The following is a 25574-nucleotide window of genomic DNA, read 5'->3' on the forward strand; positions in this document are numbered from 1 at the left end:
AGACTACAGTATAGTGAAACATAACTTTTATATGCACTGGGAAACCAAAAAATCTGTGACTTGCTTTATTGCACTATCCACTTTATTGCGGTGGTCTGGAACTGATTCTGCAATATCTCCAAGGTATGCCTACATATATATAAACCTCTGCTTTTAATGATACTGTGAGGGCCTAGAATTTCATTTGGAGTTAATGTACACATTTGACAAACTTGACTGTTTTGAGAACAATGTTTTTAATCCCTCAAGTTCTCTGTCTGCTGATCAAAATGGACATTAACATCCTAACATACTTTGCATTTTCCTAGTATCTACAAGGCCAGATATTTTTATCTTTTAATTTTTTGAATTTTTAAAATCTAATTTTTTTAATTAATTAACTAATTTTTTTTTTTTTTTTTTTTTTTTTGAGACAGAGTTTCGCTCTTGTTGCCCAGGCTGGAGTGCAATGGCGTGATCTTGGCTCACCGCAACCTCCATCTCCCGGGTTCAAGTGATTCTCCTGCCTCAGCCTCCCAAGTAGCTGGGATTATAGGCATGTGCCACCACCCCGGCTAATTTTGTATTTTCAGTAGAGACGGGGTTTCTCCATGTTGGTCAGGCTGGTCTGGAATTCCCGACCTCAGGTGATCCACCCGCCTTGGCCTCCCAAAGTACTGGGATCACAGGCGTGAGCCACTGCGCCTGGCTGCTAATTTTTTTTAAAGAGATGGGGTCTTGCTCTGTTGTTGTGGCTAGAGTGCAGTGGGATGATCATGGCTCACTGCAGCCTTAACATCCTGGGCTCTAGTGATTCTCTCACTTCAGCCTACTGAGTAGGTGGGGACAATCGGCAATTTTTTTTTTTTTTTTTTTTTTTTGTAGAGATGAGGTCTCCCTATGTTGCCCAGGCTGGTCTCAAACTCCTGGACTCAGGTGACACTCCTGCCTCATTTTTCTGAAGTGCTGGGATTACAGGCATGAGCCTGTAAGGCTTTATTTCTAGAAGCCTTTATTTCATGTAGAAGGCTTTATTTTATTATTTTTTTGAGACAGAGTCTTGCTCTGTTGCCCAGGCTGGAGTATAGTGGCACCATCTCAGCTCACTGCAATCTCTGCCTCCTGGGTTCAAGAGATTCTTGTGCCTCAGCCTCCCAAGTAGCTGGGACTATAGTTGTGAGCCATCACACCTGGCTATTTTTTTTGTATTTTTAGTAGAGATGTGGTTTCCTCATGATGGCCAGGCTGGTCTTGAACTCCTGACCTCAAGTGATCTGCCTGCCTCAGCATCTCAAAGTGCTGGGATTACAGGCATGAACCACCGCGCCCGGCCACAGGCTTTTTTAACATGTGGTGCACCAAAGATTTTTGTATGTAAAATTTTGTGTAAATGTATTTTCATTGTGGAAGCTAATACTTGCATCAGATTTTCAAAGGATTCTCTGACCTAAAATAAGTTAAGAATCACAGCATTAAACTTGTAGAGTTCCTCCATTAAAAATTAGCTTCCCAGGCCAGGCGCAGTGGCTCACACCTGTAATCCCAGCACTTTGGGAGGCTGAGGCAGGCAGATCACCAGGTCAGAAGATCGACACCATCCTGGCTAACACGGTGAAACCCTGTCTCTACTAAAAATCCGAAAAATATGCCAGGTGTGGTGGCAGGCGCCTGTAGTCCCAGCTACTGGGGAGGCTGAGGCAGGAGAATGGCATGAACCCGGGAGGCGGAGCTTGCAGTGAGCCGAGATTGCACCACTGCACTCCAGCCTGGGTGACAGAGGAGACTCCGTCTCAAAAACAAAAAACAACAATAACAAAAAATTAGCTTCCCGACGACAGGAACCATGTCTGTCCCATCATCTTATCTTAGTTCCTACCAAGTAGTAAATAATAAATGTTGAACAAATAAAAATAAGGAAATGAATAAAGAATGGATGAACAAATCACTAATTTATTGCCTCAGCTCACACTATCTCTTCTTTGCCCAGCTTTCTAAGGGTTGGGTCACAGTAGCTCATATGACTGATAATGAGTCAGAGAGGTAATAAGACTTGCTCAATGCAGTTATCACTAAACATGGCTGGGGGGAACCTTTGTAGGAGTGAAAAAGAAATCTTAAAGATGCAAAAGACATTTGTCTTTCTGTACATTTTTAAAGTAACATGTGGCTGGGTGCAGTGGCTCATGCCTCTAATCCCAGCACTTTGGGAGGCTGAGGCAGGATGATTGCTTGATCCCAGGAGTGTGAGACCAGCATGGGCAACATGGAGAGACTCTGCCTCTACAAAATACAAAAAATTAGCTAGGCATGGTGGCACACACCTGTAGTCCCAGCTACTCAGCTGGCTGAGGTGGGAGAATTGCTTGAGCCTGGGAAGTCGAGGCTGCGGTGAGCCGTGATTGTGCCACTGCACTCTAGCCTAAGTGACAGAGTGAGACTGTGTTTGAAAAAAAAATCCACTTTTATGGAGTTTTTTTGAGGCATAGGTTTCCTGGGGGCTTTGGGGTGCTGTGTACTTCTAGGTACTAAGAGGAAAGGCCCAGAGAACAGGCTGCTAAGAGCTTGCTCCAGGTCCCAGGCTTAAGGGGAAAAGGTAATATTTATTACCCTTAAAGTTCCCTGTTTGGCTGTCCAACTCAGCTTATAAAAGTAAGAATGGAGACAGAAATTCAAATAAGAATTCTGCCCAGGAGTAAACACTGTGGATCTCTACTGCATCTTTTTGGAACCTGAGTATATTAGACAGAGCACAGAGGCTACTCTTCCCTAACATCATACCCTGACCTTCAAAGGGGTTTAAACATTTTTATTATCCAATTTCTGCATTATGCTGGCCATAAAGAATCATTTCTATTTATAAGGGAATTATCCACTAAGATTGATCAGGCTATTGTTGAGGACAGATTCCATCTCTGGAATGGCTGCATCTATTCTGCTGAGGGAACTTTCTGCCATGGATGGCTTGGCAATGAATTACCAGAAATACTCAAGAGGAAAGCAAGTTGCCTTCTGTCTCCACTTTACACACAGCAGAAAACCCAAGTGGTTATGGAATACAGTGAATTACCCAGAAACAATCAGTTACCAGAAGCTCTCTAGGATTACAGTGATGACTAACCTCAGAGATGAAGCCTTCCAAGAATCTCTTCTCAATCTTTTTTCCTTTTCTTTTTTTTTTTTTTTTAGACAGAGTCTTGCTCTATCACCCAAGCTGGAGTGCAGTGGCACGATCTCAGCTCACTGCAACCTCCATCTCCTGAGTTCAAGCCATTTTCCTGCTTCGGCCTCCTGAGTAGCTGGCTAATTAATAACTGGCTAATTTTTGTATTTTTAGTAGAGACAGGGTTTCACCATGTTGGCCAGGCTGGTATCAAACTCCTGACCTCAAGTGATCCAGCTGCCTTGGCCTCCCAAAGTGCTGGGATTATAGGCGTGAGCTACCATGCCTGGCCTCAAGAACCTCTTCTCTAAACCAGACCTACAAATGATATTCTTGACAATGGAATGGATTACTTGAAGCACAGAAAACAGAAAGGAAGTTAAACAAACATGAATACAACAGGGAACTCTTCCATATAGCTTTTATGCTGGGCAAAAGAGCCCTAACTGTGGGCAGAAGTTGTTCAAACTTCATTACTCAACGTTAAAAAAAAAATGCTTCAGTGGGTACCTACTATGTGTAAAGCATAGCACTGGGCACGATGAGAGAACTAGGGTGAACAAGATGAGAAGAGTCCATGATCTCTAATACTAGAGATAAAATATGAACACTAATAACTGGAATGCAGGTGGAAAAGAGGTACAGATAATTTAGAAGAGACAGAACATTTGGCTAGTGGCAGTGGGGTCTTGTTGCTTCTGCTTGGTGGATTAAGGAAAGAAGGAAAGAAGGTTAGGGCCTTGGATGCCCAGCTAAGTAGGCTTCTTTTCTTTTTCTTTTAATTTCCCTTCCTTCTTTTCTTCCTCTCTCCCTCCCTTTCTTCCTTCCTAATACTTTACATCCTTAAAAGTTTTAAGTAGAGAACTGAAGACGATAAGAACTGCTCTCTGGAGAAATTAATACGGTAGTAGTGAAGTTTGTAGCAATGGGAATTGAGAGACAGAGCCAACAGATGTTTAGGATATAAATCAACAGGTCCAGGCAACTAACTGTTGTGGGGATCACTAAGAGGGAAGAGTCAAAGGTGACTTGGAGAATGCTGATGTCATTCAAGAACAGGTGCCCAGGAGAGAAATAGAAGAAGGTCGGACAGATGATGTGTGGTTCTGGACACAATGAAGTGTTAGTGAAGCCACCTGACAGGCTGTTGGAAATGTGCGACTGAAGCCCTGAGGAGAGGTCTGGATTGCTGAAGCTATAGATGTGAGACTATTATGCATACAAATGAGCTGATGCCATGAAAGTGGATGAGATCATCAAGGGAGATAGCAAAGGAGGAGGAAAGAGAAGGGTAAAGGGCAGAACCTTAGGGAATACTTGCATTTAGGATAAGAAAAAGACCCTGATGACGCCATCAAAGAAGGAATCATCAGAGCAGTAATCTGAGAATCAGCAGACTGTCACAAAGCAAGAAAGAGGCTCAAGAGGGTGTAGGAGGTCACAACAGAAAATGCTACCCAGAGGTCAAAAAGGATGGGGCTTGAGAAAAATGCCAGCGAGACATCGAGGAGCATTTTTCACTAGACTTTTGGTGGGATCAGAAATCAGAGGTTTCAAGTGCAACAGCTAAAGAGGGAACAAATGGGCTATTCAATTCATATTTGTTGGTGTCCATCTGTCTTTACTGCTTGACTCTTCTTTTTCCTTCCTGAACTCACCATCTGTTCACTTTCACTGCTATGTGCAAATTTCTAAAGACCTTCATTTTAAGGATTCAGCAGATACTGACAAATATTGACTTAATAAATCTCCCTAAGAAATCCTAGATTCCTAAAAGGGTGACTGCTTGTTCACATTTTGTTTCTCAAGCAAAGATATCCCAAAGACAAGTGAAATGGACTGCGGATAGAGAGGGCTGACTGTAAGTGCACCACTGAATAAATGACACTTCCAAAGTCTTCCTGACTATCACAGAGACTCTAAACTTTTCTAAACACTCTGCAGATATTCTTTTGACACATCTAGGCTTTGCAAAACCATATACCTAATCACATTTAGTAAGAAGCTTTCTTAGAACTTAAGTGTATTTAGCCATTTCAAGTCTATAGTAGAATACGGCATTAAATGATAAAGTTCCCCTACCAAATTAAATAAGGGTAACTGTTCTATTCATAGATGAAAGAAAAACATAACAAATTTTGGTATGCCTCTTTCAAAACCGGTCACTAACTTCCCAAACATCTTCACTGAACAGATACGGTATTGAGAAGTGTTGTGGGTGGCACAAAATTACAGGATATGACTACTAATGTTATGCACCAATCTCAATTAACAGGGGGTACACTTGCAGGGTACATAAGTATAATCTGGGTTTAACATAATCTTTTGGGTTCACCTAAAACATTATTGGTTACTGGCAAGTTATTGGGTTTTTTTTTTTTTTTTTTTTTTGAGATGGAGTTTCGCTCTTGTTGCCCAGGCTGGAGTGCAATGGCACAATCTCGGCTCACTGCAACCTCTGCTTCCCCGGTTCAAGGGATTCTCCTGCCTCAGCCTCCCAAGTAGCTGGGATTACAGGCATGCGCCACCATGCCCAGCTAATTTTGTATTTTTAGTAATGGTGGGGTTTCACCATGTTGGTCAGGCTGGTCTCGAACTCCTGACCTCAGGTGATCCGCCCTCCTTGGCCTCCCAAAGTGCTGGGATTACAGGTGTGAGCCATTGCGCCCCGCCTATTGTATCTTAAAAAGTAGATTCTCATTATGAAAAGCACACATTGATTTCTGAAAGTCAATTATTTTGTCCCAGTACTTTGAGAAGCTGAGGCAGGATGACTGCTTGAGGCGAGGAGTTTAAGACCAGCTTGGGCAACATAGCAAGATCCTATCTTTACAAAAACATTTTGAAAAAATTAGCTGGGCGTGGTGGCATGCCCCCGTCATCTCAGCTACATGGGAGGCTAAGCTGAGAGGCTCACTTGAGCCCAGGAGTTTGAGGTTAAGTCCCTAAGTTACAAAAAAGATATATTTCCAAAGTTCTTCAGTAACTTAGGTACTTAGAAATTCATGAGCATTTTCTCACTGATTCAATGATATTAATAATGATTAGGTCAAATCATGGACTTAACCATGGTGGTGATTTTTATCCCTAGAGATTGGTATAATATCTTGCACATGGTGTTCTAAAAAGTTGCTGAACAAATGATTGAATGAGTCAACGAATAAAGTGTAGGCCTATACTATTCTGAAAGTAATACAAACTATTAATATAAAAATGTTTCCTTTGAAAAATATGTTCTGAATTCCAGCTTGGTTGTAAAGAACAATCTCTCCTATGGTTCATTCTCTAATTTTGGTGGTTGAATGAGGACTTCTTTCCCAGCTATGACATTAATTTCATATTAAGTTTCAGTTACCCTCGACATTTTCTTACTTCCATTGGGGAGGCCCTATAAGGAAAGTTAGAGGAATGAAAGGAAATAGATGATGATGAGGAGGAGTGATGCAAGTATCTGGAGACACCTTCTTTTTTTTTTTTTTTTTGAGACAGAGTCTCACTCTGTTGCCCAGGCTGGAGTGCAGTGCTGCGATCTCAGCTCACTGCAAGCTCCACCCCCTGGGTTCACACCATTCTCCTGCCTCAGCCTCCTGAGTAGCTGGGACTACAGGTGCCTGCCACCACGCCCGGCTAATTTTTTGTATTTTTAGTAGAGATGGGGTTTCACCGTGTGTTAGCCAGGCTGATCTCGATCTCTGGAGATACTTTCAAGAGAGACACTCATCAGGGCTGGTTGAACCAATCCTGTCATCATTTGTTCAACATTAGCCTAACTGGAACAAGGTGAGGACAGAGACTGGCATGAGAGGGGGTCTAGGTCACAGAAGACTGCAGCTGTGATGGGGGGAAAAGCAGTCTGAGGAAAGGAGTCTTTCTGTGCAAGCTTATCTAAGGCTGGTATTCATCCAAACAAAAGTAGTATAGTAGAGAGGTTAAGTGTAAGGACTCGGGCCAAACTTTCTGGGTTCAAGTCTCAGCCCCCTACTTTTTAGCTATGAGATGTCAGACTAGGTACTTAACCTCTCTATATCCCATTAAAATGGGTATAATAAGAATATCTACCTCGGCTGGGTGTGGTAGCTCACGCCTGTAATCCCAACATTTTGGGAGGCCGAGGCGGGAAGATTGCCTGAGGTCAGGAGTTCGAGACCAGCCTGGCCAACATGGTGAAATCCCATCTCTACTAAAAATACAAAAATTAGCCGGGTGTGGTGGCAGGCGCCTGTAATCCCAGCTACTCAGGAGGCTGACGCAGGAGAATCGCTTGAACCCAGGAGATGGAGGTTGCCTTGAGCCAAGATTGCGCCAATGCACTCCAGCCTGGGTGACAAGAGCGAGACTTCGTCTCAAAAAAAAGAAAAAAGAAAAAAAAAGAATACCTACCTCAAGAGTTGTTAGGAGGATTAAATAATTTAACAGTATCTGAGATACCCTGAAAGCTATATGAGCATTAACTAAACGAGCACATCAGGCATGTGTAAGTTGCTGATTACATGTTATGTCAATTATAAACTTAGTTAACTTTTAAAACTATAGGTTTCCTAGGGATGAAAGCACAAGAGGAAATTAAGGTGGGTATGGTTTATTAAATATCAGTAAAAACCATAGTACTATCTTCAATCATATGTGATCCCTGTTTTTCACCCCAAAAGAAAAGAAAAAAACTATGCCTAACCTTGTGCCAAATCACCACTTAGGACTAGGAATTTTTAAATGGTACCATGAGACCCAAGCAAGCCTTACTGAAACTTTTTTTTTTTTTTCAAGACAGGGTCTCACTCTGTTGCCTAGGCTGGAGTATAACAGTGTGATCATAACTCACTGCAGCCTTGAATTCCTGGGCTCAAGTGATCCTCCTGCCTCAGCTTCTTGAGTAGCTAGGACTACAGGCAAGCACCACCATGCCTGGCTACATTTTTACCTTTTGGTTTTTACAGAGCTGGGGTCTCATTATGTTGCCCAGATGGGTCTCAAACTCCTGGTCTCAAGTAACTCTTCTGTCTTGGCCTCCCAAAGTGCTGGAATTATAGGTGTGGGCAACCGTGCCTGGCCCTGAAGGTATTTTAATAGTGCATTTTCTTCTAATAATGAGAAGAATATAAAATATATCTTCTTTTTTGACAGTGTTGCTCTAAGAAAAACTATTCAAAATGGACTCTATTTAAGAGTACAACTCATTTCACTAAGTGAAATAAGGTCATTCTTTTTAATTTCAGAAAAGTCTGTGTCCAAACAAATGTCCTTTGGACCCTTAGTACAGAAATTGCAATAATTTTTGAGACAAAAACTTCAGGGTTGGGCTGCCAAGTCCACATGCTTTCTTTCATGGTTTGCCAGCACAAAGAGTTACTAGGGGAAAATGTTCATTAAATGAGAAAGGTTACGTCATACTGAAGGACTATGCACTTACAGATAGATGGCTTGCCTTTGCCCAGTATTCAAGGATCAGAGTAGCTGTCGTTTTTTCCTTTACTGCAGAATTATTATTTTAAGTAAATGAAAGGTTGATTTATATCTGCATTACATTTATCATCTTGCTAGAGTACAGAGTAAGGTTCAGAATACAATATTCAGATACAGGGAGTGCCTAGATGTGGAGAAGTTCCCGGTTTACAGATAATCTCCAACAGAAAAAGACTAACACCTTGCCTTCCCACCAGTTCATAGGACCCAAAGAAGCATTATCTCTTGCTTCAAAACCCAGCCACTTATCAGTTATGCAAATGAACCTCCTGGTTCTCTCATCCTCTACAGAGCAATCTAATTAAACAGCAACATCTGCAAACCCAGAATGCTGACAAAATGTGGCAGATCTGGTCAGAAAAGAAAAAACCTACCAAAACTACCCATAATATTTGACCAAGAGAACTGAGCAATCTAGTGGGAATTATACCACTGAAGTGTTTTACTAAGAAACCATCAGAGTCCTTATAAGGTAGTTAATATTTATATATACGAATAATGTATTTCTTCATTATACCCTGAAACAGGCCATAGGGATGCAGCAATGGCATTGTGGAAACTACCATTTCTGGCAAATGAAGACTTGGAGGTTGGGCGCAGTGGTTCACAACTGTAATCCCAGCACTTTGGGAGGCCGAGGCAGGTGGATCACCTGAGGTTAGCAGTTCAAGACCAGCCTGGCCAACATGCGAAACCCTGTCTCTACTAAAAATACAAAAAATTAGCCAGGCATGTTGGCATGCACATGTAGTCCCAGCTACTTGGGAGGCCAAGGCAGGAGAATTGCTTGAACCCGGGAGGTGGAGGCTGCAGTGAGCCGAGATTACACCACTGCACTCCAACCTGGGCAAAATAGTGAGACTCCATCTCAAAAACAAAACAAAAAAAAAATGAAGACTTGGGTTCGAGTCTAGCTACTACAATTTTATAAATAGAGTGGCCTTGGATAATAAGAGATAATAATAATAACTGTTGTAGTTCACATAATTTTTTTTTTTTTGAGACAGGGTCTCACTCGGTTTTGCAGGTTGGAATGCAGTGATAAGCCTCCCGAGTAGCTAGGACTACAGGTGCTTGCCACCACACTGGGCTAATTTTTTGTAGAAACAGGTTTTTACCATGTTGCAGGCTTGTCTTGAACTCCTGGGCTCAAGTGATCTGCCCACCTCAGCCTCCCAAAGTGCTGAGATTAAAAGCATGAACTGGCCGGGTGCGGTGGCTCACACCTGTAATCCTAGCACTTTGGGAGGCTGAGGCAGGCAGATCACGAGGTCAGGAGATCAAGACCATCCTGGCTAACACGGTGAAACCCCGTCTCTACTAAAAATACAAAAAATTAGCCGGGCCTGGTGGTGGGCGCCTGTAGTCTCAGCTACTGGGGAGGCTGAGGCAGGAGAATGGTGTGAACCCGGGAGGTGGAGGTTGTAGTGAGCCAAGATAGCGCCACTGCAGTCTGGCCTGGGTGAAAAAGCGAGACTCTGTCTCAGAAAAAAAAAAACAAAAACCATGTACCATGGCACCCGACCTCTGATAGAATTTTTGAGATCAAATGAGATCATGTATCTGCCAGTATTTTGTAAACGGTTAAGGCCTTTCAAATTTTATTTTTTATTATTGTGATTACATTTAACTATTTATTTAGTACATTAGTCACTATGGATTTTAAACACAGTACACTGTGTACACTGATAAATCAGTTGCCATGTATTGAGCTGATTTTGGGCAAGTCATTGATCTAATAGCATTAATCCCCAAATATTTCTTTTTTTTTTTTTTTTGAGACTGGCTCTGTGGCCCAGCCTGGAGTGCATGGTGCGATCTCGGCTCACTGCAAGCTCCGTCTCCCGGGTTCACGCCATTCTCCTGACTCAGCCTCCCAAGTAGCTGAGACTACAGGCGCCCGCCACCATGCCCAGCTAAATTTTTTTTTGTATTTTTAGTAGAAACAGGGTTTCACCATGTTAGCCAGGATGGTCTCGATCTCCTAACCTCGTGATCCGCCCGCCTCATCCTCCCAAAGTGCTGGGATTACAAGTGTGAGCCACCGCACCTGATCAAACATGGCTTTCAAACCCTGCTGCAGTCCCACTGCACAAGAGCTAATTTTTTATATTAGCCTAAGTCCCACTGCCTAGGAAAGGCTAAATGTTTATCCTTTTTTGCTTATAAGGAAAGAGAAAATGGAACTCTGCACATCTATATTAGCATTTAAATCAATATTTTATCTGAGAATATGTTAGGCAGCAGGATTATTTAAGTTAATGTTATCTACTTGAAATATTTGTTCAAAGCACAGGCTGGCATCAAAGTATTTAATATGGTTTAGATCAAGGGATTAGACTGTGACTTAATGCAAATAAACTTCAAAAAGCACTTTTGACGAAAGTTAATATAAATGGAATACATAAACATAAACTATCATTCTTCCTCAAAGGAACAGTTAAGCAGTATACACCAATCTGTTTGTTTCATGCCTCAGTGGGATTTAGGTATTCTAAAAAGGGAGGGGTAACTCCTTTAGTAAAGTGTCGAGCTACTCTTAATGGCTGTCTGCATAAAGTGATGAGAAAAATTTGATTAAGTTTGGGCATGTGAGTAATTAATTCTCAGCAAGGAAATCTGATAGGGGCCTTTGCAAATAGAACACTGAAAAAAAGTATCACTTTGGGGGCATAATCATTAAAAATGTCCTGTCACTAAGTTCTCAATCTATTCACTTGTTTAATTCTCAGTCCACAGGCACAGGTCTGTGGCTGCACCCCTAAGAATTCTAGTCTGACTCAAGGAGTGAGACAAAGTGTACAGGGCAGGAGGAGAAAGCCCTGGCTTCCATGGCCCTAATCCTTTCTTTTTCCATTCTTCTTTATCATCTGGTCAAATAGAGACTTTTGCCCTGTAAATCCCAAGCCAGCACTGTCTCCTTGTCCTCCATGTTTTGGTCTTACTGACCTAGGCAGTTTATTTCCAGAGAAATAATTTTTGGCATATTAAAATAGCTAAGAGGGAGAGAGATGGCTAACAGTCGATGTGGGTATACATTTCTTTTCTTTTCTTTTTTTTTTAGATAGAGTCTCACTCTGTCACCCAGGCTGGAGTGCAGTGGCTGATCTCAGTTCACTGAAACCTCTGCCTCCTGGGTTCAAGCGATTCTCCTGCCCTAGCCTCCCAAGTAGCTGGGACTATAGGCATACACCACTACATCCGGCTAATTTTTGTATTTTTAGTAGAGACGGAGTTTTGCCATGTTAGCCAGACTGGTCTTGAACTCCTGACCTCGGTGATCCACCCACTTCGGCCTCCAAAAGTTCTGGGATTACAGATGTGAGCCATCATGCCTGGCTGATGTGGGCATATATTTCTAATGCATTTATGATTGCCTGTTTTCTGCAGACCATATTTCACCCAATTTTGTAAATCCTAGAGTTTATATTTTTATTAGCACAGCTAGTACATACAGTGACTATCTATTAAATGCTTACTGATGATGATCTAACACCATCATCCAAGATGCCCTGGAAAATAATATCAAAGAAGGGTTTTTAATAATCAGAAAGGCTAGTCAAAATATCTTTGGCATCCTGTTAAAAAAAAAAAAAGAAAGGGCCAGGCACGGTGCCTCACACCTGTAACCTCAACACTTTGCAAGGCCGAGGCTGGTGGATCACCTCAGATCCGGAGTTCGAGACCAGCCTGGCCAACATGGTGAAACCCCATCTCTACTAAAAATACAAAAAATTTGCTGGGTGTGGTGGTGGGCACCTGTAATCCCAGCTACTTGGGAGGCTGAGGCAGGACAATCGCCTGAACCCGGGAAGCGGAGGTTGCAGTGAGCTGAGATTGACCCATTGCATTCCAGCCTGGGCAATGAGAGCAAGAGTCTGTCTCAAAAAAAAAAAAAAAAAAAAAAAAGGAAAAGAAAAGAAAAGAAAAAAGAAAGAAAGAAAAAAAAGAACAAGCACTAAAATCCTTGGCACGGTGTCTAATACCAAACATTTCCCACTTAATTTTTCTGTTCTCTAAATGTTGTATTTGTTATCATTATGAGCAGATATGCATCTTTTGAGTGCAAGAAATCTATTTCTGTAATATTTTCCAGAACACCTAGCACTGAACCAGGCAAATGAGACTGCAAAATATTTATTTATAAAGAAATAAAATAAATATATGTTTTCTTTGAATGAAACAAATTATCTATATACGAATCCTTATCTCTATTAGAGTCCTTTAACCAACCAACATATGAGGTAAATACATTCAGTATATGGTATGATATCATATCATATCTTTTTTTTTTCTTTTTCTGAGACAGGGTTTTGCTCTGTTGCCCAGGTTGGAGTGCAGTGGTGCGATCTTGGCTCACCATTTCATAATATATCTTAATAAGACCACTTTACATCTGCTTAATGCTGCTTGTTCATAAAGTGGTTTCAGCTTTGTTATCACGTTTGCTCTTCCCTCACCCCAGTATTGTAGCAGCATAGGTCTGTTGTCCTCAATTTACAGATGAGAAATTGAGACACTGAGAAGTTATATATCTTCATTTGTTCAACAGCTAGGCACTTTTCTAGGTGCCAGATTTACAGTGATGAACAAGACAGAGTTCCTGCTCCTAGGATGCTTACTCAGTAGTGTGTTTGTAAATTTTTAAAAACTAGCTCCTCAAATGTGGGTCACCATGAATGTATGAATTAGTATATTTTTTAACAACTAAGACAAAAGTAAAGCAAAAAACTGTACGTTGGAGCTTTATTAATTTATTAATCATATGAGTGACTTCTTTGCTAAATCAATGAATAATTTTCCCATACTGGAAGAATATTTCTCAATCTTTTGTGCTATTCACAAGTAATAGCTATAGAGAATGAATTATTAACATTTTCTTCATCACTTTCTTGAGTCTAGACAATCAACAAAACAATAAATCAAGCCCTGATTTGTAGTGTTTGTTGATTTCAGTGGTGTAAGTACTTCTATCACAGGTAATTTCAAGCTATCAACATGAAATCACTGAACTCAGAGTTGGCGAAAAAATGCAGTGGTACACCATTACATAAGATTTCCATCATTTAGATATAATAGATACAAATATCTCAAGAGAATAGATAACCATAAAATGATTAGCTTTGTGTATTTATTTTGTTTTTAATATAACTTGGCCTGGTGCAGTGGCTCACACCTATAATCCCAGCACTTTAGGAGGCCAAGGCAGCTCATTTGAGTCCAAGAGTTTGAGACCAGCCTGAGCAACATGGCTAAACCCAGTCTCTACAAAAAAATACAAAAATTAGCCAGGTGTGATGGTGTGCATCTGTGGTCCCATCTACTCGGGAGGCTGAGATGGGAGGATTGCCTGAGCCTGGGAGGCAGATGTTGCAGTGAGCTGAGATTGCAACACTGCACACCAGCCTGGGCAAGACCCTGTCTCAAATATACATATATATGTAAGTTTTTAGTTCATATAGTTTAATTTTTAATAATTTCTGTGCCTTAAAACCAGCTCATAAAAGGTAACTAACTCAGCATGGGAGGAAATATTTGCAATGCATATAGCTGATAAGGGATTAATATATATAACATATAAGGAACACCTACAACTCAATAACCCAAAAGGCCAAACAATTTTATTTTAAAAATAGGCAAAGGGCTTGAACATTTTCCCAAAGAAGATATACAAATTGCCAGCCAGTGAGCACATGAAAAGATGATCAACATTACCAATCATTAGGGAAATGCAAATCAAAACCACAATAAAGTACTACTTTGCATCTACTAGGATGGCTATTACTAAAAAAAGAGAAAGAATAACAAATGTTGCTGAAGATGTGGAGAAACTAGAACTCTTATATATGTAAAATGATACAGCTGCTATGTAAAATGTTATGGTCGCTCCTCAAAAATTAAACATGGAATTACCATACAATCCAGCAATTCCACTTCTCGGTATATATTCAAAAGAATTGAAAACCAAGATTCAAACAGGTATTTGTACACCACTATTCAGAGAAGCATTCTTCACAATAGCCAAAAGGTGGAAACAACCCAAATATCCATCAACAAATACACAAAATGTAGTATGTAAATACAATGGAATAGTATTTAGCCTTAAAAGGAATAAAATTCTGGTACATGCTACAAGATAGACGAACCTTGAAAACATTATGCTAAGTGAAATAAGCCAGACACAAAAGGAAAAATAATGAATAATATCTACTTACATGAGGTACACTCAGTAAATTCATAGGGACAGAAAGTAGAAGAGTGGTTACTTGGGTCTGTGAGGAGGGAGTAATAGTTTCTGTTTGGGATGATTAAAAAGCTCTGAAAATGGATAATAGTGATGGCTTCATGACCATGTGTATGTACTTTAAAAATAGCTAAAACTATAAAGTTTATGTTATGTATATTTTAATATAATACAAAAGAGGGCAGGCGGCTGGGTGCAGTTGCTCATGCGTGTAATCCAGCACTTTGGCAGGATGAGATTGGGGGATCACTTGAGGCCAGGAGTTTGAGACCAGCCTGGCCAACATGGTGAAACACCATCTCTACTAAAAAAAAAAAACATACGAAAATTAGTTGGGCGTGGTGGCATGTACCTGTAATCTCAGCTACTCGGGAGGCTGAGACAGGAGAATCACTTGAACCTCGGAGGCAGAGGTTGCAGTGAGCTGAGATTGCACCACTGTACTCCAGCCTGGGCAACAGAGCAAGACTCTGTCCCCACTCCACCAGAAAAAAAAAAAAAAAAAAAAAAAGAGGGCAGGTAATCATGAATATTCTTACACTTGAATAATTTTAAAAGAAAAAAAGCTCATGAGATTGCCAAAAATTTAACAATCGTATTTTGTGGGCCAGGATAGGCTGGTTCCAGGATTCCAGTGAGCTTACTTTCCTTCTAATGGAGAGGAAGAAAGAGACTTGCTCAGGGACACATGTGAAATGGAAGAGCCAGCCCTGACTCTAGACCATCTGAGTAGTCTAGCACTATTTCCACAGCTGCATACCGTTTTTCATATAGTCAAGTAACTATCAGATTAATGTTACAAAGTTTTGGGTTATATGCATTTGTTACAGAATGGCTTCAGGTAGATCAGAAAAATGACCCTGGAGGTTAAGAACATGGTGATTTGGAAAAAAGCAATGGGGCAAATTTGAAGGAGAAGAAATGTTGGGGAGAGGAGTGAGAGGAGCTCAGAGGTCCAGTAGCTTATCTGTTAGATATGTATTTATGCAAAAATAGGGGCAAGGGGACACAAAAAGCCCCAGTCTTTGGGCCACACCAGTTATGTACACTCCTGGGTTGAGGTCAGGGGTCTACAAGAGACGTTCTTGCCCCTGAAATGTAGTTACCATCTAGATGATACCTGAAGACACTCCCATTTCCCCTCAATTTCCCCAGGTCCCCCAGTATCTCCCCATCTGGAGGTTGTTACAGGAATTGCTTGCAAATGAGGCAGTGAGAGTTATAACCTGACATAGGAGTCCTAAGCTATAATGTTGAAATAACATTTTACTCAGAGGAAATGACATGTACAAAGGCTCAGAGGCCAGACAAGTAAGCCAAGGGGCTGTGGACAGAAAACAGGGAGGTGGCAATAGGCAGAACATTACAAAGCACCTTGAGCTTAATAATACGGAACTTTCTTTGTGGGAAAGAGCCTGTTTTAGTACAAAACCTTTTCATTTATTTCTTTTAAAGAAATAAGCTCCTCTCAACTTAAACGTCTAGACTTAAAAACTGTAGAGTGTATTTTTAAAGCCTCTTTTAAAGTAAATTGGACTTGTTTGCAGTCCATACACATTCCCACCAGTGATCCTCCAGTAGTCTAAAAACAAAATTACAAGAATTGGCAAACACTAAAGTCTTCAGTAATATAAAATTTACAGTATTTGAATGTCACTTTTTACTATATTAAAATGGATCATTTTAAAGCTCAGGTTATTAACTGATTATAAATTATGGAACATTAATGCTTTCAGGACACAAGGGCAGTACTTTGTGAATTTCTGAGAATCAGCATGATATCAAGAAAGAAGATAACCTTTCTTTACCTTCCTAGGTCTCGTTTTCCATATCTAGTGGCTGGCCTAACAAGACCTGCCTTGCAAGGTTGTTGGATGTGAAGGATATGAAGTATATGTAGCACCTAGCAATAAATAAGCACTCAGTAAATTGTGACTGCTATTACCATTGTGAACATAAATGAAATTTTAATTCAATAAACATTTGTTAAGTGTTACAATGTACAGTTGGAATCTAGGTTTCTTTCATCTTTTGTTTTACATTATTAATATTTTAATCATAGAGAAAAGTACAGAAAATAAACACCAGATGTGTGGCAGATCATTTGTTTTAACTCCCTATGATTTTTTTTTTTATGATTTTCGACTGTATGAAAATATCACAATTTGTCCATCCCCCTCATAATATTGGCACTAAACATGTCTCCTGGGAGAATTTCTTTAAGATATATATTAAGAAGTGGAATTGCTGAGTCACAGGGTATGATAACCTTCACAACACCAGAGTGTTCTCCAGAGTGGCATATCATTTTCTTTTGTACCTAGCATTGTGCATTTTAGGTGCATTCTCATTTAGCAAAACTACATGTCAGGCATTTTAATTTTTGCCAACATTACAGGTTTGAAATGGTATCTCATCTTTTAACTTATATTTCCCTAATTGCTAATAAAGTTATCATTTCATACGTTTTTTCCTATTACAGGTTACCCTTAAGTAAACTTCCTGTTCATTTCTTTTGATCATTTCTTAAATTGGGGAATTGGTTCATTTTTTAAAAATTGATTTGTGGAATTTTAAAAACATATTCTGGCTCTGAATTCTTTGCCAGTAAAATAAAATACGAATATCTTCTCAAAGTCTGTTATTTTTATCTTTGTTTATAGTAAGCATGGGTTTTCTCATCCATAAAATGTAAATAAAAACATCTACTTCATGTGATAAAATACCTGAAAGCTCTTAGTCAAGTGTCAGGCACAGATTATACATTCAGTAAAAGTGAGTTTCCTCCATTTGCCCTCAACCTACATCCTCACTCAATTCATAAGTGAGTAATAGGGGAATGGTTTATAGGTATGAGATCTGGAGAGTAACAGATTTGCTTTTAAATCTCAACTTTACCAAACTAGCTGTATGAATTTGGCCCACCTAGCTCAAGCTCTTTCAGCCTCAACTTCCTCATTTGTAGAAGTGGGGTAGTAATACTTAACTCACAGTGGTATTGTGAGGAATAGAGTTTAATCCAGTGGCTGGCCAACAGAAAGTTCTCAACATATGGTAGCTGCTACCACCATCACCATTATTAGGGGGGATACAAATATATACAAATAACTATAATATAGAACAAAATATCATTAAAACTCCCTATGAAAAAAATAATTAAATGCTATTGGAATGTAGACATGGGAAGAGGTAACGTCTAGCTAGGGGTTAAGAGAGAGTGAATGGAGGCTTCATAGAGGAAATGCCATTTAAATGGACATTAAAGGAAGTTAGATATTGATAAGAAGGATATTCTAGCAAACAAAAGAGATGCATGGGAGAATGTACACACACACATATATATACACACACACAAATATATGTAATTATATGTATTATATCTAATATCTTATACATCTATGCAGTCTGCCAAAGTATAGGAACAACTGAGTAAGTCAACATCAGAAGCAAGTCTTCATTTTTCAGGTTATTAGGGTACTCTATGCATTAAATGGTAACTCATAATTTAATTAGTATTCTAAGTATAAATGTGAAATGCTGTTGACTTTGGAATAAAATTTGGTACAGTAGGATCTGTGGAAGAATTAGAGCTGGGAGTGTTAAGAAAATAGGGAGTATTAAATATGAATAGTATACAGAAAGCCAACAGATATGGATGCCCACTGAATGACAGGTGAGGAGCCTACCACTCTTGAGAGCCAGGCTTGGTGGCTGCTCACTTACCGCCTTTCTGGGAATCAGCAACATATGATTTTCTTTGTTAAACAGGATAAGTTCTGAAACCTGATCCAGGAAAATCACACCTTTTCTCATTCACTTTACTTATACAGGCTCTGGCAATTATGGTCAGCCTAATTTCCTTCCACCCTCCTTAATTCCTTTTTTTGGTGGGGCAGGGTGGGGCAGAGTCTCACTCTGTCACCCAGGCTAGAGTGCAGTGGCACCATCTCAGCTCTCTGCAACATCTGCCTCCTGGGTTCAAGTGATTCTCGTGTCTCAGCCTCCTGAGTAGCTGGGACTACAGGCATGTACCACCAAGCCTGGCTCATTGTTTTTGTATTTTTGGTAGAGACAGGGTTTCGCCATGTTGGCCAGGCTGGTCTCAAACTGCTGACCTCAAGTGATCCACCCGCCTTGGCCTCCCAAAGTGCTGGGATTGCAGGCATGAACCCCCACATCTGGCCTCTCTCTTTCTTGATAGAAACAAATTTCATTCAGTATGTTTTGTCTTAAGCAAAAAGTTCCACTCATTACCCTCTTCTGTCATACCTATTCTACGATTTAAAATAGCATTTGACTGTATTAAAATACACTAGATTAACTATTACTGTATTTCTCATGTTCTATCTAGTTTTTTTCCCTTTCCACATTTATAGCACATGAACAATTACTTTAAAAGTGATTTGGCCCTACATTGTTGCTTTTCTTCACAGCTTATTATTTATTTACTCAAGAGAACTGAACTACGAATCTGTTATCAGATTCAGTTGCAAGCCCTGTCTATCACAATAAAGTATCCGAAGTTAGGACTATTATTTTTTCTTAGCAAACCCAAGGTTTGAGCATGATGAAATGATTTTTCTCAAACAGAAAATGGTGGGCAGTTCTATATACAAACCAGAAATATATCAGCAGGGAAATTCCAACCACTCAAATCCAGAGGAATCCTAAGCATTTCTAAAGGAAAAAGCTACTATATTTTTCTTTTTCCAAAATTTATTCTGCTCATGGTGATTACCATGTGTGCACAGATTAGCTAAAATGATCACTGTGGGATCAACAGTTCTTTCTTCATTGTCTACCAGTTCTTTTGCTTGCCTCTGGCGTAAGTAAATAAACAGGTGTATTCACCACTAAATAAATCTTACATGTTTACAAATTCCTAAAATACAATGCAATAAAAAATAGCAAGAAGAATCTGTGGTGTTTGTTGGAATCTGAGCTATATCGCTTGCATCCACACAAATAAAGACAGAAAGGATCCCATGGTTGTTCACAAACTGTGGACAATGACCCTGGGATCACAACCCAGAATTAACCCACCACTGAATAGGGTTAGTACCTTCTTCTCTATATTACGTCCCTATAACAATGTCACAATCTTAAAATAAGACTTTCTATCCTTTAATTACTAATTTTCACCTGGATATGCTGTATGCATAGCATTTATTTCCATAACGATGGTCACTTCTTTCTCCAGAGCAAAAAACAAACACAACAACAACAAAAACAAAAAAAACCCAAAAAAACTAGAGGTTAGAATATTTTCCATATTTAGTTCCTCTTGTTATGTAACATGGAATATTTGGAAAGAATTAAGTCAGCTTTGCTGCAGTAACAACCCCAAATCTTCATGTTTATAAGGACAAAATTTTCTCACTACAGTGCAGTTTGGATTCAGGTCAGGGGCAGCTTGGTTTCTGTTACATGACTCTTATTCTGCGACCCTTGCAGAAGCAACAGCCCTGATTTTGGTCATGCCACTTTCACGGCAGAAGGAATAAAGAGGGCTGGTGGAAACCTGTGCTGACTTTCTTTTCTAGTTTTTTTTTTTGTTTTTTTTTTTTTTTCCGAGACAGAGTCTCGCTCTGTTGCCCGGGCTGGAGTGCAGTGGTGCCATCTCAGCTCACTGCAACCTCTGCCTCCTGAGCGATTCTCTTGCCTCAGCCTCCCGAGTAGCTGGGACTACACGTGCGTGCCAACACAACCAGCTAATTTTTCATATTTTTAGTAGGGACAGGGTTTCACTGTGTTAGCCAGAATGGTCTCTATCTCCTGACCTCATGATCTGCCCTCCTCGGCCTCCCAAAGTGCTGGGATTACAGGCATGAGCCACCGCGCCCGGCCCTGTGCTGACTTTCAAAACTTCTGCCCAGATGTGGTCTATATCATATCTGTTCACACGTCACTGGCCAAAGAAAGTCACACATTTAAGCCTAACATCAATGGGGCAAGGATGTGTACTCCTCTCATAGGAGGTGTTGCATATCACACGGAAAAGGAAGGGAGAATGAACAAGCAGAGAAAAATATAATCTATGACATGCAGGAAAACAGTAGTTTATAAGCGAAAAGTCATCTTAAAGACTTTTCCAAAATACTTTTTCTCCCTTTTCTATATCAACCAACATGCCCATACAAAAGGGAGTGTAGAGGAGATATTCCATCCAACTATAACTGCCATGCTAGGTCTATGGCAAGAGAAGGATATAATGTAGGAAAAAGTCCTTCCAGACTTCCAGACTATGCGAGATGGAAGTGCAGCAAAGCAACACTGATTTCCTCAGCCTGGAGATAAATCAGTTTGTTAAATAAGTGAGGATAAAATCAAAGGCCAAGTGCCCACTCCTTCTTCATGTTTGGGAGTCTAGAGAAGATCAACTCTCAGGCAGCCTCCACCACAACATGGTGCACAGAAACAGTGACTCAGCGTTGTAGCAGGTCTGGTAGAGAAGTGTCTGAGGTTCAGGTTTCCTGAGCCCCCATAGTTCCCATAAGGCACAGATACTGAGAGATTATAAGAGGATGAACTGGATGGCAGACACACCAGAGGCTCAGGGGGGTGCAACCAGAAGTCAGGGGGAGGCCCAGGTAGCCAGAGTGCTACTGGGTTCTGAGCAAGCAGCCTACAGCCACATATTTCAGCCCTAAATGACAGCAGAACAAGCAGCACTAAAGTGGATGAGGGACCTTGCCCCTGAGACCAGGAGACACCTATGGCCATCATTTATGACACTACCCCAAGGGACTGTCTGAATTACTGGATCAGTTTAAGCTTTAAACTAGACTGGATATTTAGGTAATTTTTCTCTCCTGGTCTCAGGATAAAGGCTGTAAAGACATTGACAAAGAAGTGACATTTTCTCTGAGGAAGGCTCAAAGAAATAGACTAAACCATTTCTATTTTATTTACCACTACATCCACTGCTTTAACAGTGCCTGACATAAGTAGGTATTCAACAAATATTTGCCAAATGAAGGAATGAATAAGAGGCCATAGTGAGAGGAAACTGATCAACTAGCAAAGCTATGATAGAAATACCAGGCAGGCTGAATTGAAAAAACAATGCCAGTTCCATTTTGGCACCAAGCCAAAAAAGTCCCCACTTCACTCCTAAAACAAGTTTGTAACCTTTATGGAATGGCTCCTGCCACCATATTTAACTTACATTTGGTTCACTGTTTAAAGCCCTTCGGATAACACTGCTGCATCCTTTTGCTTCAAGGAAAAAAAAAAACCAGAACCACAAATAGCTGTGCAGGATTTCGACCTTGCAGTCACAATAAGAAAGCAGCAATAGGAACCAGAATGGGTGATGTCTGAACCAATAAACTAACTCTGGTGTTTAGCAGCAACTTTATTTTACCTGCCCCAGGATAATTTCAGTGTTAAAGCTATTAAACCTATAGGTATTCTAGTGGCTAGGATTAGTAAACAGAACATAACAGGGAACAGTACAGAGAAAATATGGTAACTAAAATACAAGCTTATACAGGATTGAGGTGGAGACACAGGCTGACATATGCTGACATGGTAACTAAAACACAAGGCTATATAGGATTGAGGTGCAGACATATTCAATCACTGTACTTTCCACAGTAAATTTGTTTCTCAACACTCTAGCAATAACATTAAAATTACCTATCAGGCTTTAAAACAGAACAGATGCTTAGAGATTCCGATTCAGTAGGTCTGGGGTGGAGCATACGCAATGCTAATTTTTAGTAACGTCTCAGGTGATTCTGATGCATGGCCACAGCATTCTGCAAGTGAGAACACCTGAAGAACATCATCAGTAAACACTGAAAGAACTTATGAATGAAAAGCCTCTTTGAATTATATATTTTTTGAGTATGGACTATGTTTTATTCATTTTTGTACTCTAGCCTCCAATGTTTCTGGTAATTAAAGAATAAGTGAACAAACAAATCACAAATTCTCTGCCTTGGTAGCCTGATGCTCTCAAAGAGACTGGAACATGGGAAACAAAAAAGTTGACAGCTGATGTTGTAAATCTGTACTTCCTGGAACAGAATTCCTGGCATAACTTTAGGCAGACTAAATGGGAATGAACATGTGTGATCATTACAACACTGATTTTTTTTTTTTACAAAATTAATTTTTGTTGAACTGGGGTGAGGGGTGAGGGAAGGAGGGGAAATTGGTGCTCTAATAAGATTTACGTATCCAAATCCCATACCCAGAGTCAGATTATGAAGAGCAGAATCACAAAGCCACTCCATTTATAAATCCTGATTCTGCCCTCTACTGTTTGTTTATTTTTGTATTTACTTCTCCTTGAGCAACAGTATAATGTACAACTGAAAATACTTAGTGTTACTGACAAGATTTATAATTCAGCACTACTTTATGTGTTAATGACTTCAAAGCCCTGGATGAATAAAGCGAACAGGGATTGACTCAGTGAAACTTCTAGCTTCCTGTAAACTTCATTCATTCTCAAGCTTAATGGAAACAAAACCCTATGCTAGGAAAAAGCAAGTATGTTTCCCTTTCTGAGTCTCCCTAGTTAAACACTATAATCAATGGCAACTCCACCTTGTAGCAAAGCTCAGTGATACCATGGATCCCATTACAATCCCCAAAAAGGAGAAGGTGAAGGAGGAGGAAGATGGAAGTTTGGCATGGTTTGACTCTGTCTCCACAAAATCTGCAGTCTTTCTGTCACCCTCACACTTGAAGTTACGTGGAAAGGAAGAAGAGGGAAGTGCTGGATGAGAGAAACTTAAGAGTGCAAAGTCTGAAAAAGATAGGAGAGAGAATAATGGTCTGAACTAAATAGGCAGAAGAAATCTATTCTCTATTAAAACAACAAGAATTTGCCGAAGCAGGTTTTCCAAAAGAGACCAGAAAAAGAAAAAAAAAAAGAAGCCCTAAAGTGATGCAGGAGGAGTGTCAGTCAGTCTGACTGGGTCTCCTAGTCAAAAGCTCTGGCCAAGTGACTAGATACTCACATGCTCTACAACCCTAGTGAGGAGTGCTTTGGGCTCCCACCTGCCTGGATGGATGGGTGCTGCACACTCAGCTACCTGCTTGGGTGATAAAAATAATTAGAATAGTGGTGTAGATGAAGGTTGAAGTCCTTGAAAAGTGCAAGAATATAAAGTTCTGCCCAGGGCCCCTCTTCCACAGGGGAGAAAAAAAAGCCACACACAACTGGATATTACAGTTATCCCATCATTTCTCTATGAAAATATAAAAACAAAATTAATGTTTGTCTTAGTCCATTTGGGCTTCTGTAACAAAATACCATAACCTGGGTGGCTTATAAACAACAGAAATTTATTTCTCATAGTTCTGGAGGCTGAGAATCTAAGATTAAGGTGCCAGCCATTCATGGTGTCTGGTAAGGGCCCTCTTCTTGGTTCATAGATGGTGCCTTCTTAATATGTCCTTACATGGTGGAAGGGGAGAAATCTGGTATCTTCAACCCCTTATAAGGTCATTAATCCCAATCATGAGTACTCTATCCTCATGACCTAACCACCTCCCGAAGGCCCCATCTTCTAATACCATCACACTGGGGATTAGGTTTCAACATATGAATTTTGCAGGGTACAAACATGTTCAGTCCATGGCAATGTTAACCCCTTTTGGTCCTATTTCACGTAGTCCAGTATTTGGTGGCTATTTTCATGATATTCCCCAATCATCTTATCCTTACATCTGCCTTAACTTTAAGATTACTTGAACGTTAGAGAAACTAAAAATGGGGACATCTTTCATTTTTATCAAATGATTATTCTGCTCCAACTCTATAGATTATAGATGCAAATCTTTATGGATCAGGTCCCTTGAGAGCTATTTTAAAATTCAAGCAGGGTAGAAAATAATTCCTGCAAGTCTACAGTACCCAAAACAGCATAGTACTGGTACTAAAACAGGCACATAGACCAATGGAACAGAATAGAGAGCCCAGGAATAAGGCTGCACATCTATGACCATCTGATCTTCAACAAAGCTGACAAAAACAAGCAACGGGGAAAAAGACTCCCTATTCAATAAATGGTGGTGGGAAAACTGTCTATCCATATGCAGAAGATAGAAACTGGACCCCTTCCTTACATTATATACAAAAATCAACTCAAGATGGATAAAGACTTAACTGTAAAACCCAAAACTATGAAAACCCTGGAAGACAACCTAGGCAATACCATCCTGGACATAGGAACAAGCAAAGATTTCATGACAAAGATGCCAAAAGCAATTGCTATGAAAGCAAAAATTGACAAGTGGGATCTAATTAAACTGAAGAGCTTCTGCAGACACAGCAAAAGAAACTGTCCACAGAGTAAACAGACAACCTACAGAATGGAGAAAATATTTTCAAACTATGCATCTGACAAAGGTGTAATATCCAGCATCCATAAGGAACTTAAATTTACAAGAAAAAACAAACAACCCCATTAAAAAGTGGGCAAAGGACACAAACAGACACTTCTCAAAAGAAGACATACATGCAGCCAACAAGCATATGGAAAAAAAGCTCAATATCACTCATCATTAGAGAAATGCAAATCAGAACCACAAGGAGATACCATCTCACACCAGTCAGAAAGGCTATTATTAAAAAGTCAAAATATAACAGATACTTGTGAGGTTGTGGAGAAAAGGGAACACTTATACACTGTTGGTGGGAGTGTAAATTAGTTCAACCATTGTGGAAAGCAGTATGGCAATTCCTCGCTACAAAGAGCTCAACAGCAGAGC

General features: G+C 40.1%; 1 protein-coding gene across 11 annotated transcripts in view, besides 1 other annotated feature; it reads right to left on the minus strand.

The window, feature by feature from the left end:
• FRMD5 (FERM domain containing 5) overlaps window positions 1-25574 on the minus strand; it is a 328710-nt gene that overhangs the window by 136490 nt on the left and 166646 nt on the right. The window lies entirely within an intron of this gene.
• Window positions 13882-14096: a silencer, noted in NCBI's record as "fragment chr15:44313333-44313547 (GRCh37/hg19 assembly coordinates)". NCBI's record gives its function as "represses an EF-1alpha promoter that drives an FKBP-Casp9 reporter gene in an ReSE screen in phorbol 12-myristate 13-acetate-treated (for megakaryocytic differentiation) K562 erythroleukemia cells {active_cell/tissue: K562(+PMA)}" and the evidence as "EXISTENCE:reporter gene assay evidence [ECO:0000049][PMID:32094911]".

This window comes from Homo sapiens, chromosome 15 (genome assembly GCF_000001405.40).
Source record: "Homo sapiens chromosome 15, GRCh38.p14 Primary Assembly".
Taxonomy (NCBI): Eukaryota; Metazoa; Chordata; class Mammalia; order Primates; family Hominidae; genus Homo; species Homo sapiens.